The sequence below is a fragment of the Homo sapiens genome, chromosome 5, assembly GCF_000001405.40.
Source record: "Homo sapiens chromosome 5, GRCh38.p14 Primary Assembly".
Classification (NCBI taxonomy): Eukaryota; Metazoa; Chordata; class Mammalia; order Primates; family Hominidae; genus Homo; species Homo sapiens.
Window position 1 is genome coordinate 152,921,638 of NC_000005.10, and position 16,415 is coordinate 152,938,052.

General features: G+C 38.1%; 1 long non-coding RNA gene across 1 annotated transcript in view; it reads right to left on the reverse strand.

Moving 5' to 3' along the window:
* Positions 1-16,415, reverse strand: part of LINC01470 (long intergenic non-protein coding RNA 1470) — a 353,385-nt gene that overhangs the window by 302,673 nt on the left and 34,297 nt on the right. The window lies entirely within an intron of this gene.

Genomic DNA, 16,415 nt, shown 5'->3' on the forward strand with positions numbered 1-16,415 from the left:
GCTTATTCAGGGTATTTCCAAATTATCGAATTTTTGTTTGTTCTTTTTCTATAAGTGAAAGTAGACATCAAAATGTTTCTGATGTTTGCAGGTGTGTTTCCTTACTACTGTGCTCCCTAACTCTGGCGACCTCTTTGACCCAGCCATCATCCAAAAGCATGTTTAAGGCCATAATTAGGGTAACTAATGTTAAGAATAAATATTCTTTCATTAAGAAACATTATTTAACTCATTTTCCTTATGTATCACTTAATATTATTAAGTGACCAATTAGTTTTTAATTATTTCAAATAAAATCTAAAAAAAAAAAAAGAAAACTGTTTGTGTTTAATGAATACTGGAAAAATAATTTAAGGTCCACTTTTCAGATATCAATTAGTTGTAAATTTTAAACATATATTTTAAATATTTAGTAACTAGGAAAATCACTTACTTTTGTGATGGGGGATTATGTAAGAAGTCCCATAGCTAATAGAAAAATTGGGAAAGAATGTAAGTAAGAACATGGATGGGGAGAAATACAAAAACGATCATTACAATTTGTTGCTAGACTTCTTATATCACACACATCATTACGTTAATCCTCCTGGCAGGTGTTACCCTAAACAGTGGAAACAAATTACTCAGTAGGGAGGCAGAGCATTGGCCTCTAAACTTATTTATAAAATCTTATGAGGTATCTTCTGAAAGCAGAACTTGGTCTCTAATGAACATATGAGAGACAAGTGCCTATTAAATGGAAAATATAGCCATTTGGAGGGACATTTGCTTTAACACACTGCTTCTTATCTTGGATGCAAATGTAACTGCCACCTTTAATTTTTACATTCTCCAGTGAGAGTATGGAGGATTAAAGGGTTTGTATGTTCTCCAATGCTGCACTGCAAAGTAATATGGTCCCAGTGATGTATCCTAATAACTGAACAGCCTAATTCTTTTGCAGATTGGAGGGCTTGAGAGTGTCTTCTCCATCCTGGGCATTATTTTCCTCAACTATATACAATGAATAATTTGAACATGACGAACTTTAAGGCTCTCAACAACCCTAAATTTGGAGACACAATGGTTAATGTTTTCATTAACAGGTGGTTATTCTGTTGCTCTTCTTATAATAAACTCTTTCAAATAAATTTCAGACCCTTTTTGTAACAAATAAATGGACTTGAGGCAGATCTGAAAATGTGGAAAGATTAATGTGTATATGCAAAATAAAATATGACAAGGCAAACTGTGCTGAGGATGATGATGAACTTATGAGGGATCTGCCGACGGGTACAAATGATGGTAAAGATGATTAACAGTTGCTGAAAGTTTATTATGTTCTGGGCTTTGCTCTTAGTAGTCTGGAAACATTATTTCAATTAATTTACAAGACAATCCTAAGAGACTAACCTTATAACCACCCTCATATTACAGATGAGGAAACTAAAAGACAGAGAATTAGATAATTGTCTTAAAATTGCCTAGCTACTGGTGGCAGAGCCTAGATTTTTATCCTGAGAATTTAGCTTCAAATACTTCGCTCTTCACCAGACCAATTTTCTTTCTCTTCGAAAGTGAGTGGTATGCAACAATGTAAGGGTATTTATGGTGTTAAGAGGATATTATGGAACATAGTTACTACCTCTACAGGGCTGTCAAGAGAAAGACACACAGACAATGGCAGACATAAAGCAAGTATCTCTCTGTTGTGTAGTAGTCTTGGAAACCCATCCGTGATGCAAGGAAGCTCCTATAAACTGGGGACGGAACACATGCCTCGGGATAGAGGTCTAAGAACCTCCCACTACTTCTAAACCAGCCACTGCAGACCTGCCAACTCAAGTCCGTAATCTAAAATTATACAAGCAAAGGCTCAAAACAAAGGAGAAGTGGATCCTGAAGTAGGTTCAGCCATTTCCAAGACTCCTCTTGCTATAAAAATAGAAAACAAAAAGAGGGGAGTATAGAGACATTTCTTTGGAAGTAATACTACCCTTGGCAAAAGTTGCTCAATCCGTATCCTAGAATCTGGTCAATCAGATTTACATATTTTCCTGGGTTAGGTTGCAAGATGAAAGAATGGGGTAGGAGGAAAACAGACTTTTCTAGAGGTCTGCAGATCCCAATCCATTGGGAAAATCAAGAAAAGCTTCTTGTTGGAAATAAAGTTTGAAGTCAGTTCAGGATTTGTATAGTTTGAGATGACAGGTGAATATTCCAAGTAGAAATGGCAATGTACAAAGATAAAGAAACACTGCAAGGCAAATAAGAAGAATAGAGAGTACACATAGGGTAGTACTGCAAGACAAGATAGAAAGCAAAAGAGAACAGAGCCTCATTAAAGAGGAGTGGGGTAAGTAAATGACTACACAAGATTTACCTCTATAAATCTAATTGGACGTTTGTTAAAAAAAAAAAAAAGTAGAGCCTAGAGCCTGTGATTTGGAGAACAACAGCGTTATCAGATTTCCCTATTTCACTCTATTTGACCACATTATATACATAGTGAGTGATATGGTTTGCATCTCTGTCTCCACCCAAATGTCATGTTGAAATGTAATCCTCAATGCTGGAGGTGGGGCCTGACTGGAGGTGATTGGATCAAGGGGTTGTTTCTGATGGTTTAATACAGTCCCCCTAGTGCTATTCTCATGATAGAGTTCTCACAAGATCTGGTCAATTAAAAGTGTGTGGTGCCTCCCCTCCTCTCTCGGTCTTGCTCCTGTCACATAAGATGCCTGTTCCTACTTTGCCTTCCACCATAAGTAAAAGCTCCTTAAGGCCTCCCCAGAAGCAGATGCTGCTATGCTTCCTGTACAGCTTGCAGAACTGTGAGCAAATTAAACCTATTATCTTTGTGAATTACCCAGTCTCTGGTATTTCTTTATAGCAGTGAGAGAATGGACTAATACAGAAAACTGGTACTGAGGAGTGGGGCACTGTTATAAAGATACCTAAAAATTTGGAAGTAATGTTGCAACTGGGTAATGTGCACAGGTTGGAATAGTTTGGAGGGCTCAGAAGAAGACAGTAAGATGAGGGAAAATTTGGAACTTCCTAGAGACTTGTTAAATTGTTGACCAAAATGCTGATAGTAATATAGACAGTGAAGGCTAGGCTGAGGAGGTCTCAGATGGAAATGAGAAACTTACTGGGAATTGAAACAGAGGTCACCTTTGTTATGTGTCAGCAAAGAAGTTGGCTTCATTGTGTTCCTGCCCTAGAGATCTGTGGAGCTTTGTACTTGAGAGAGATTACTTATGAAAGGGGTTTGCAGCCCCAAGGCCACAGACAGGTACCCATCCATGGCTTGTTAGGAACCAGGCCACACAGCAGGAGGGGAGCAGCAGGAGAATAAGGATTACCAGCTGAGCTCTGCCTCCTGTCAGATTAGTGGCAGCATTAGATTCTCAGAGGAACACAGACCCTATTGTGAACTACGCATACAAGGGATCCAGGTTGCACACTCCTTAAAAGAATATAACACCTGATGATCTGAAGTGGGATGGTTTTATCCCCAAACCATCACCCCCGCACCATGGTCCATGCAAAAATTGTCTTTCATGAAACTGGTCCCTAGTGCCAAAAAGGTTGGGGACCGCTGACTTAGGGTATCTGGTGGAAAAAAATTTCTAAGCAACAAAGTGTTAAAAATATGATCTGGCTGCTGCTTTTAGCAACCTGTGCTTGTAAGCATGAGCAAAGAAATGACCTGAAACTGGAGCTTATATTTAAAAGGCAAACAGAATGTAAAAGTTTGGAAAATTTGTAGCCTGGTCATGTAGTAGGAAAGAAAAGCATATTTTCAGGGGAGAAATTCAAGCAGCCTGCAGAAATTTGAGTATGTAAAAAGGATGCAAGTGGTAATGGCCAAGACAATGAGGAAAAGGCCCTGAAGGTATTTCAGAGACCTTCCTGGCAGCCCTTCCCATCTCAGACCCAGAGGCCTAGGAGGGAAGAATGGTTTCATGGACCAGATCCAGGGCTCCACAGCCCTGTGCAGCCTCAGGACACTGCTTCCTGTATCCCAGCCATTCCAGCTCTAGCCTTGGCTAAAAGGGGTCCAGGCACAGCTTGGGCCCCTGCTTCAGAGAGTGCAAGCCATAAACCTCAGTGGCTTCCATGTGGTGTTAAGCCTGTGGGTATGCAGAGTACAAGAATTAAGGCTTGGGAGCCTCTGCCCAGGTTTTACAAGATGTATGGAAAAGCCAGGATGTCCAGACAGAAGCCTGCTGCAGGGGTGGAGCCCTCATGGAGAACCCCTACTGGAGGCTTGGAGCCCTCCACAGAGTCCCCATGGGGGATCTGCCTAGTGGAACTGTGAGAAGGCCACTGTCTTCCAGACCCCAAATGGTAGCTCTACTGACAGCCTGCACCCTGTGACTGGAAAAGCCACAGGCCCTCAATGACAGCCTGAGAAAGAAGCTGAGGGGGCTGTATCCTAAAGAGCCACAGAGATGCCCTAGGCTTTGGGAGCACGCCCCTTACACCAGTGTGCCCTGGATGTGAGACATGGAGTCAAGGAAGATTATTTTGGATATTTAAGATTTAATGACTTCTATGCTGGGTTTTGAATGTGTGAGGGGGACTTTAGTCCCTTTTATTTGGCCAATGTCTCCCTGTTGGAATGGGAATATTTACTGAATGCCTGTACCCCATTGTACCTTGGAAGTAAATAACTTGTTTTTGATTTTACAGGCTCATAGGCAGAAGGGACTAGCCTTGTCTCAGAAGAGACTTTGAGCATTTGAGTTAATGCTGGAATGACTTAAGACTTTGGGGGACTGTTAGGATGTCATGATTGTATTTTGAAACATAAGAACATGAGATTTGGGAGAGGCCAGGGGAGGAATGATATGGTTTAGATCTGTGTACCCACCCAAATCTCATGTTGAAATGTAATCCCCAATGCTGGAGATGGAGGCTGATGGGAGGTGATTGGATCATGCGGGCAGATTTTGGTTTAGCACCATCCCCCTAGTGCTCTTCTTCTCAGGAGTTTGGGTCTTTTAAAAGTGTGTGGTACCTTCCCACCTCTCCTGGTCTTGCTCCTGCCATGTAAGATGCTTGCTCCTACTTTGCCTTCTGCCATAAGTAAAATCTTCCTGAAGTGTTCCTAAAAAGAGATGTCAGCATACCTCTTGTATAGCCTGTGATACTGTGAGCCAATTTGACCTCTTATTATTATAAATTACCCAGTCTCAGGTGTTTCTTTATAGTAGTGTGAGAATGAACTAATGCAGAGAGGATAGAGTGAACCTAACTGCTTTGAGGCATCCCTATAGCTGACCCTAAAAGTTGTGCTCTTGTCCCATGCAGTAGCTCTCCCTTCATTCTGCCCTTTTTTCAAGTGAGAAGACATCCCAAAGAATCAAGCAGAATCTGCCTCCCTCTTTTTACTCCCTAATCATATACTGGTTTATTAAGAAGCTGTTCTCTGGGTGCTTGTCTTGTTTCCTTAGGCCTGAATAATCAATTGCTGCCTCAGGGTGGTTCAAACAGCAGTCCCTAAAGTACCAACAATTTATCATCTCTTTCCCCAGCAAGCAAGAACCAGAATAAAACAAATATGTGTTATTCTCCACTCTAATGAGCAGCAGGGACAGCCCAGTGTTTCCACAGGAAGGAGCAATTAAACAGAATGATTGGCAAGATAGCATTTCAAAAGTCAAATGGGGGATTTGGAGGATCTCCATTATCAGTCAGTAGTCAGCAGTTTAAGGAGAGGCTGGAATTCCCAACTAAGGCAGAACAGTTATTGTGTACACAAAAGACAGGAACAAGAAACATGCTATTTCCTCTGATCACTCCTTACCTAGGTGTCTGCATGATCTCTATATACCAATCTTTGCAATAAGAGTAGTGATGAGAGGCATATCTTTGGTTTTTTCAACCCAAGAGAATTAGAGAGATTAACAAATGTGTGATGTTAGAGCCAGGTGACACAGAAGGAGTTAGGGTACCAGAGGTAGGCCTCCTGGACTAGAATTTAAAATCCACTACTTGGCAGAAATCAGGGCTCTCAAAGTGGCAACTTATAGGCCAAATGCAGCCTGAAGGTATAAGTCATTTAAATCACATAGAAGTTTCAAAAAAAAAAAGTTGCATTAGATGCCAACATTTAAATATTGGGAAATTTTGCATACTAATCTAGTTTTCCAGCTTTTTTAAAGCAATTGTCTGGAGTCAAGTACAATCTTCTGAATTCTTTTTCCATGGTCCTCACCATTTCTATTGTTCTCCAACAACAAGGCAAGGTCATTTGCATTTATTATGCTTGTATTGGGCTTTCTTTCCCTTCACAGCTGAGAACTTTTCTCTATCCTCTTATCTTTAATAAAATGTGGAAAAATGAAAGACCAAAGGGGCTTTTTTTTCTTTTTTTTTTTTTACCTGACTCATTTACATGATCTGACTGGCCCCTGTAGGCATTAGAGCTTGCATCGTCCTGTTTTAGAAATAGCTTACATTATTAAACACTTGGTATGTGCCAGGGATTCTTCTGCATATATTAACTCACTCAGAAAGTACATAGCCACTATATAGCATTATTATCTTTATTTTCTAGATGGAGAAACCATCTAGTAACTTGACCAAGGTCACACAGCTATTGTGAGCCTGGCTCCAGAATCTAGTCACGACCTCTTTAGTATACTGCTTTTATCACAGTAACCCAATGGGAACAGAAAAAGCCATAATAAACATTGGGAATATCCTGTCATTAGAAAGCAGTACAGCTCATTCACATGATGGAATATGTAGGTCCCCCTAACATTATTAAACAGCTTATGGAAAGAAAGGCAATCTTAGCACAAACAGGAAAATAGAAGAAGATACAGGTAATTATTACCTTTTTCCTGAGCTCTAAAGTTATAGCTCATTTGTAGCCTATTATTTATGCTCAATTGCCCAATTTTGCATAATAAACTTTACTATTATCATCAGACAAAATAAGTTTCATTGAAGAAAATATTGTTGTTGCTCTCTCTCAGGACATTAATTTCTCCATGTTTTTCCATCCTGAGCATGCTAGAAACTAACTGAGATGAAGAGGTCAACCCATAGGCCTCTGCAAAAGTTGCTCAGATCGCAGGATTCTTTTTTTTTCTTCTTTGGTTGCAAATGGGTTAGAGGAAGAAGAACTGGAGGTACGACTTTATCAGTAATACAGAGGACTCAGACCCTGAATTATGGTGATGATTATCTAAAAAACAAAGTGCTAGAAGAAACCCATATATCTGGATGTGTGATAATACCTGGCCTCTTTCTCTAGCACAAATAATTTTGACCACTCAATCTACTACTGAACAATGAAAAGACCTTTCTTTGGGTATTTAGGACCTTCCTGGGAAATGGTCTCCAAACTCATTTACAGAAAACAGATTTTACAGATCTCATTCTCAGAAGTTTCTCAAACAACCCAGAAATGACTGTATTGTTCTCTCCAATTCTATACTCTTTGCTCCACTCTTCCTGCCAAATTTTACCCTATAATATACTATATGCTCCAAGTCTGACCCTTTAGTGTCAAGTCTTACATCTGTTAAATATGTAATAGAATACACTTGTGAAGGAGAAGGAGGAAAATATTGACTGCACTTTGTAAGAAGAGAAAACACTTTCCCCACATCTTTGCCTTTAATAAGAGTGATCCTGCAATTTTGTGACCAGAAAAGAGACTAGAGGTTTCTGGGCTCTGGTAGAGCTACAAATCTTAGACGATACTTAATTATTGGAAGTGTTTGGAGTTGAAATTTTTAATGCAAAATAAATCATGTTACTTCATGGGAGATGATAAAAGAAAATATAAATGAGAATGGTCGAATGTAAGATGTGGGCATACATGATCCTGAATTGGGACAAATTAAGAAATGCTATCTAAATTTAAAGACTATTCTAAAGAAAAGGAGGGGAAAATGAGTTAAAAAGTAATCTGGATATATTGAGATTAATAAAAATTTATAAGAAACGAACAAGCAGTGAAGAATATCACACCTCCTACCTTTGAAGAATGAAATCATTTGACTTGAAACTTCCTCCATGAAGCCTCCCAGAACCACACATTTAGACTTTGTTTTCTGTGATTCTAAAGACCTTTTGTAAATCTGTAATAATATATCTATTATGTGCACTTATCTATCTCCGCTATTAGCTTGTAAGCTCCATGATTCTATTATAGCATGTGTATCTTCAAAAGTGACATATGCCACAAACTGAGAGATTAAAGAAAGAGTGAAGATGTGAGTCTGTGCTTTTGAAAACTGCTGGATTGAAGGAAACAACAAAATTATCTGTCACCTCCAGATGTCCAAGCAGCTCTTAAATGCTCACTTGGCAGGGTAGCGTAGGAAGGGAATTGTGCACAGGAAGATGACTGCTTGGAGGATGCTGACCTTCTGACTGTGACTGTGTATCATCTCTCTGCCAGCTGCATCTTGCTCCACCGGCAGGATGCTTGTTTGCAGTAGGCTACTAACTATCACGCCAGCCTTGTCACTCACTTATTGCTTATGTTCACATATTTTGCTCTGGGCACCTGGCCTTTGTTCTGCATTTCTATCACCCCAAGGCTGTTTCCATCTCAGCACACTTCAATTTGCTGCTCCCTCTACCTGGGAAACGTGTTCCAAGATCTTTGCATGTTAGGACTCAGTTCTTATTCGGGTTTCAGCTCTGATGTCACTTTCTCAAAGAAGCCACCTCTCACCACCCTGCAAAGTTAGTACTCGCTCCCATGGTATCGTGCTTCACATTGCTGCTTTTGTCTTCATAGCACTCAGCACTACCAGAAATTCACTTATTTGTTTCCTCATTTATCGTATACTTCCCCACTGAATGTAAGCTCCAAGAGAACGTGCTTGTTCTGTTCCTGGCCAGCATCAATGCTAGTGCCTGGAAGACAGAAAGCACTCGATAAATGTTTATGTAACAGTGAGGGGAAAGGGGCTCATGGAAAGGGGAAAGGTGTTTATTGTGTATCTACCTTGTACCTGGCACCATACTAAGCATTTTCAAATACATTATCTCCTTTAATTCTTGCCATACGTTCTGAAAGAAGCATTACAATCTCCATTTGATAGTGAAGAAAAAGCTTGAAGGAGGTAGCATAATTTGAGCAAACCACTCAATAAATATTTGTGGAAGAAAGGTGGGCAGGCAAGCAGGCAGCTGGAATGTGGTAGAATTCATATTTGACCCACGAAGTCAATCTGGCACCAAGGTCTTTGTTTCATCATACATTATTCATGAACATCAACTTCTTTTTTGACAAGGTGAGCAGTATATTCTGAGATTCTAAGTCTGAACTTTATGGAAGTATCTTTCTGACAGTCAGAATCAATACTTTTGTTCATCAGGCTGTAACCTTCTCTGCAGATTTGACATGCTATTCCCATGTAACACTGTCGCCTTTGATCCAAGCTAACGACTGTCATCTTCCATTTGGAAGAGAACAGAATTCAGGGTGAAGATTGTTAGCATTAACTCCCTACTATAGTCTAGAGCCTCCCATTTTGACTTGGAGAGGACTCATACCTTCAATTAGGATTTTTTAAAATGTAAAAAGCAGTTCCCTCTCCTCTTTTGGCAATCTGACATCTCCAAAGTCTTCTTTTAACAGTCATGTCAGTTGGATGCTGTGCTCCTGTCATATTCTAGATGGAATCTTACATTGCTTCACATGGCCTACAAGTTCCAGTATAATCTGGTCCCTGCCTGCTTCTCTACCCCTAGGTCTGGTCACTTCACCTTCTGAAAGCATGGCCCAGCAATACATTTCTAATTTGTGTTTGGTTAGTATCTCATGTTCTCTAACATCTTCCTGCTTTGGCTTTCTGTCAAAATACCCTCCCAAATAATTCTTCATCTGGTGTAATTCCATTTTAATGTTAAGTCATGCTTCCCAAAACATGGTTTTCTCTATAAAGCTTTCTTTGATCATCCATATTCTCTTAGCCAAATTCGATATTTGTCTTTGATTACAGAGTACCTTTCAATACCTCTACAATAATTATCTTGTCTCTTAATAAATACTTGTTGGATTTTCTCTCTATTAGATTACCAGCAACTTGAGGCACAGTATTTATCTTACAATAGAAGTAGTAGTAGAAAGACTTGATATTTATGTAGTGCTTACAATATAGTAGCCATTGGATCACACATTTTATATGTAGTATCGCTTTTAACTTAAGCAATAATAGTATTATTGTATACTGAGTACATGTTATTTTGGAGGCACCATACTTACAAAATTATATAACACTTATCATTCTCATTCCACAGACGAAAAACTAAAGTTCAGAAATGCTAAATCACTCACTCAAGGCACAGAACTAGCAAATAGCAGAATCACACTTTGACCCCACACATAATGCTCATTCTAATATATGTATTTTTTTTCTGTCAATGTCCGCTGAACAAATGAATTTACTTCTATTCCTCGGGGCCATATCTGAGGTGAGCCATAAGCCAATGGTATCATCTATTCAATCACATCTGTCTGAAGACTTTCCAAGCAAGCCAAGTGAATCTTATTACATTCCCCAAACTCATCCTGTTCATTCCCGAAACATATCTCATTTGGCTCAACGTGAAAGGTTGGCACTCTCCTTTTTTGCCTATACAAATATTCTCCAAAATTCCACGTTTTTATTTTAGAACCTCAGATTGGAAAACTATAGCCAACTTTTCTAAACTCAATGTCACCCTCTGTATGGTGAATTTTGATACGTCATTAGCATGCAATCCAGCAACACATGAAATAGGAAGAAGTTATTTGCCATGGTTTTATCTCTGGAGCCTGACTGCCTCAGTTCAAGTTCCAGGCTTACTTTCTATTGGCTGTGTTACTTTGGGACCAGTACTTAAGCCTCAAGTTTCTTGGCTGTAAAATGAAGATAGTAGTACCTCTAGCTTCATAGAATATGAAAATTAATTGAAATAATAGAATAATGTGAAATATGAAATAGAAAATTAAACCAGAAAATCTACTTCTGACATTAGCATAGCTTCTGTTTCATATTAAGAGCTCAATATTTATTACTTTATATTATTAACTAATTAGATAAGAGATTATCTATACCTAAAGAGACTAAGTCCTTGAGTTTACAAATGGAGAAAGAAGCCAAGAAAGAGAAAGCTGCTGATTCAAAGTCATGTTACTCAACTGAGAATTCCACCCAAATTTTAATGACTCTCAGCCTCAGGCAATGTTGATGTAGCTTTTTATATTTGACAGACATATGCAACTTCAAGGTATGAATACTTACTTAATCCCCATTCACATTCTTTATTGTTTCTAGCCAAGTGATTATTAAAGTTTTGCCAAGTAAAGGATTACAGAGTTTCTCAAAAAACATCCTTTAGCTAAGTCTTAATATTCAGTGGAATTTTTCTCTGCCATGAAGTTGGCTTTCTTTGAGATTAAGAATAGGGCTAGAAAGTAGCAGTAGTATATTCATCAAGGAAGAGGAAGAAAGGGGGAGGAAATGAGGAAAGAGAGATCCATTATGAACAATTTTAGAAATAGAATCACCAGGCTTTCAAATTCTAAGCATCTGGGGAAGGAATCAGACTTGTTACAGGAAATAGCTATTTACTGAGAGTTGAAGGCACTTTGTTTCTCTAATCCAGGGCCTGCTAAGCCTTATGTTTCTAAGATTCACAGAAAATGCAAATTGAGAAGAGAACAAACTCATCTTTCTTTGCCAAATTATCTCTTATTTAATCCAAGACAAACTTTTCCCAGACTTAGAAACCATGACAAGCAGTTTTCCCTTAAAGACCAGACATAGAGCCCAATGAATCTGCCAGTGTTAGACAATCGCGTTTATGACTCTTCTTTTATAGGATTACCATTAGTAAAGGTACGAAGGAAGTCAAGTTTATTATCCTATCCCTGTGCATCCTTTATGTTCTCCTCTCATCTCAGGCACTCATTCATCATCTCCACCAGGCCTCTCAGGCCACATGTCATCCATGGTTGGCCAATACCTTCACCGGAGGACAGTATTCTACCCCAGTCAGTTTCTCAGGGCTCAAAACATATGCTCTTCCCTCCAAATTCCGATTCTCTTAATATGAGAACTATAACTCCACTGTAAGCTTTTTGATAGTAGGGTCTTATATACGTGTGTCTCTCTAAGAGTAGCAAAGAGAATATTCATAGCAGAAGGTCAAGGCATATCTGGTATGTGTGTAGATAGATGAACAAGTGAAGGAATTCAGTAAATGTGAGAATGGAAGAATCTACACAAAATAACATGCTATGAACAATATGGTAGCTCTTCCACTGGTCCTTTCATTTTAATAGAATATTTATTTTTTCCAAAATAAAGCATTTCTAGAGAAGGTATGTGGGCAAGTGTCTTTCCTCATTTACTCCAGGAACACTCTGTAGGCAGCTACATACTCCACACTTTTGAGAAACTGTGTGATCTATAAATACCTGTCTCCTGGAACGTAGAGGTGGGATTGCAAACTGGGAACTGCTCTGATTTTAATAAACTCAAGTTTTCCCCTACAACTCTCAATGGATACATTAATAAAGGAAAACATGAAGAACAATAACAACAATAACAATAATAATAATGTTACTATTCCCAAATGTTAAGGATAGGGAAAAGAAACTGTTAGAAGAACTTGAGTTCAAAATACCTGTAGAGAACAGTCTTTGAGCAGAGGTTATTGATTAAAAAAAAAAAAAAAGAAACTAGAGTTAAAAACTTTGTGAGAGGAAAAGTGCTAAGAGCTATCTGTCTTAATAGCATTTCGATGGGAGGCTGAAGACTGAAAAAAAGAAATTTTGTACCATGAATATAAAGACCTGAATTTGAGTTTCAGTTCTACCAATAATTTAGTTCTAGGGTCTTAGGCCATTCATTTAATCACTCTAAATCACTTATCTCACCTTACAAAAGGAGAGAGTCAACTGCAAAAGTACTGGGATAGTGCATTTTAATGGGAAGGTGGTCACATTCCCACTAAAGGAGCAGCATTACTAGAGAAGAGAATCAGAACCCAAAGTGAAAGCTATTCTCCTTCCTCTGCCCCCACAGAGGGAAGAACCAGGGGATGAGATGAAGCTCCCTCATCGCAGCTTTAGCCAAGCTCTCTGTCACTGACACTCTGCTTTCTTTAGGATTTTGCAATACGCAAAGTTTTGAGGAGACCAGTGATCCACACACTGTCTGTAGCCTGTCGACAGATCACATGGTGACCATAACTTTGTGGTGATGTGAACAGCTGTTTAAAGTCAGAACTATTTCAACTTTTTCTCTTGCTTTTCAATTTAAGTTTCTTTCCAAATGGGCTATGCAGTATTCTGGTTGAAGCTGTTTCCTTTTATCAAGCCTCCTTCAGATGAAAGATAAGGCAAACATCAGCTGGTAAGATAATAGTATTTTAATGCTTTGCTCTCTTTCTTGCTGCAAAAGAATGATGAAATTCTGACCTGAAGACCATCCAAGAGGATACTCCAGGCTGGCCCATTAAGGTCTTAATGTTTATAATGTAAAACTTTCTAGAGCAGCACTATCCAAGAGAAATATAGTCAAAGTCCCATATGCAAGCAAAGTGTAATTTTAAATTCTCTAGTAACTATATTTAAAAAGCTAAAAAAAAACCCAGATAAAATTAATTAGCATATTTTATTATCTCCTATATACCCACAATATTATCATCTTAAAATGTAATCGATACAGCAGTTGAGAGATATTTTACATTTTTTTCCAAGTCTACAAAATCACTATGTATTTTATACTTACAGCATATCTTAAATCAGACAAGCCACTATTCAAATGCTCAGTAGAAACATGTGACCATATTGGACAATATACCTCTAGACCTTTGCTGTATCTTTTTGTTCAATATATATTTTATTAGCACGGTTTATAGAGGCATTTTCTAGCAAGAATAAAAAATTAACGTGGAATACAATATTAATAAATGTTTGCTGCTTTGCAAATGAAAAAATCACTAGATTTATAAAGGTTTTATGATTTCTTAAGTTATTTTTTGTGGAGTGCAACATGAAATAAGGCAGGAATGGTACTACCCTACAAAGAAATAAGATAAGAGTCCATTGTAGAGATGACTGCTATAAATGGAAGTAATAATCTCTTAAGTAATTTATAATCTAATAGGGAAAATAGGATAAATGCTTTCAAAGATATTTAAGTGTCAGTAAAAAGCAATATACATCTAAACCACCAAATGAGAGAAAACCACCTATGTATTCTATAGAAATTAAAGAAACAAAATTCCACCTCTTAGGTAAACGTCGTGAAGATTGCTAACATACAAGGTTGGAGGAAAAGTGACTGGAGTTAATGTACAAGGTTGGAAGGAAAGTGAGTGGAGGAAAGTTTTCCAAATATCCCTAAAAATTACATCTTTCAACACAGCCATTTTAATTCTACGCTTTGAGAAAATTACTGGATAAGGACATAAAAATGAACATAATGGGATGCTTACTTCACTGATATGAGACTACTGAAAACTTGGAAACAAATTAATCCACTAATGTGGCAATAATTAAACATATTATAAATCTATTTAAATATATATGTAGATATGTCTAGATTATGCAGTTGTTGAAATGCCAATGCAGTTTTATATTTCTTAATATATATATTAAATGAAAAAATTCAGGTTATGGAATTGTATATATAAGACATCACTTAAAGTACACGCACATAGCAATGGGGATATTTAAATTTTGCTTTGCACTTTTTAGAAATAATATTTTAATGAGCATACAGTGCTTTAATCAGAATAAGCAATAAGTCTGCATTTTGGAAAAGAACTACATCATGGAAACTTGAAGAATAACAAAAATAAAAAATAAAGGAAAAGATCATCATGGCCTGTAGAGGTTAAAACAATTTTCTTTAAAGAGAGGAACACTGACTAAGAAGAGAATACAAGAAAATTATTCTTTATTCAAAAGTGCTACATTTTCCTGTGACTCATTTGTCTCTAAAGTGACTTAGTTACAAGCCTTTGATCTTCTTAAACTTGAAATTTAAGAGAAAAATCTCTTCTTAAAGTAGGGCTATCAAATGATTTCCTATTTGACAGGTTTAAAGATTGCAACCTTCACTGGAACATGCACTCAAGTTTACTTGCCAAGAGCAAACCACAGGAAGGAAACTTGGGGGCAGAAATGAAGTGTTGAACTGGGAAATAAAGTAAGGGCAAAGCCATTAAAACATAAAATCAGCTCAGAGAAAGGTCAACTGAAAATGTGTCACATAAAGAATGAAACACAGACAGGACTTTTATCCAGGAAAAACAACATAGGTTATGGGTGCAGGACACCAACATGGCACATGTATACATATGTAACAAACCTGCACATTGTGCACCTGTACCCTAAAACTTAAAGTATAATAATAATAAAATAAAATAAAATAAAAACAACATAGGTTATCTCTTGGCTCCCCTAGAAAAATTCATTCTTACTGTGTGCTCTGGCCTGAATGTTTGTGTCTCCACAAAATTTATATATTGAAATCTAATCCACAATGACATTAAGAAGAGGTGGGACCTTTAGGAGAGAATTAGGTCATGAAAGTGGAAGCCTCATGAATGAGATTTGTACCAGGCCTGAGGGAGCTTATTTGTTCCTTTCACTATGTGAGGACATAGGATCCCACCAAACAATGAATCTGCTGGAAACTTAATCTTGGACTTCCCAACCTCCAGAACTGTGAGAAATAAATGTTTATAAACCACCCGGTTTGTGGTATTTTTGTTATAGCAGCCCATGTATCCTACGACATCTTCCTCTGTGATGGGCACTTTACCCCAACTTCCTCATTCTTTACTGTTTCACTTCCAGGAGACAGGATCAAGTCCTCATGATCTCACACCTGGACTGAAGCCATCACTTCACACTCAGGTCTCTCCCTCTCAGTTCATTGTAGGTGCTCTCCTTTCCTGACTTCAAACAGTCACATGCTCCTCAGTCCTTTCTGGGTAGCCCAGAGGCTGGTGAAGCCAGCCAATTAGGTCCTTACATCTCTGGGGTTTTTGGCATTGCTGCTGTTTTGCTTCCAATATTAATTTTTTTAAAAAATAGATTAGTAGGCCACATTTGAAATGTACAATACTTTACATGAAACCCTAAATCTTCCACTCCTCCTTAAAAATCAGAAAGATGAACAACATTGATCTCACTTACAGAAGACATAAAAATGTCTTTGAACTGAATGCCAGCTGCCTCTTTTCAGCAAGGACAAGAGGTGACTTGCTTTCTTTTTCTTTCTTCTTCCCTCTAACAATCCCCTCCCCGCAGTTTGTTTCACTCATTTAGATCACCGCTGATATAGTTTGGCTCTGCGTCCCCACCCAAATCTCACCTTGAATTGTACTCCCATAATTCCCACATGTTGTGGAAGGGACTAGGTGGGAGATAATTGAATCATGGGAGT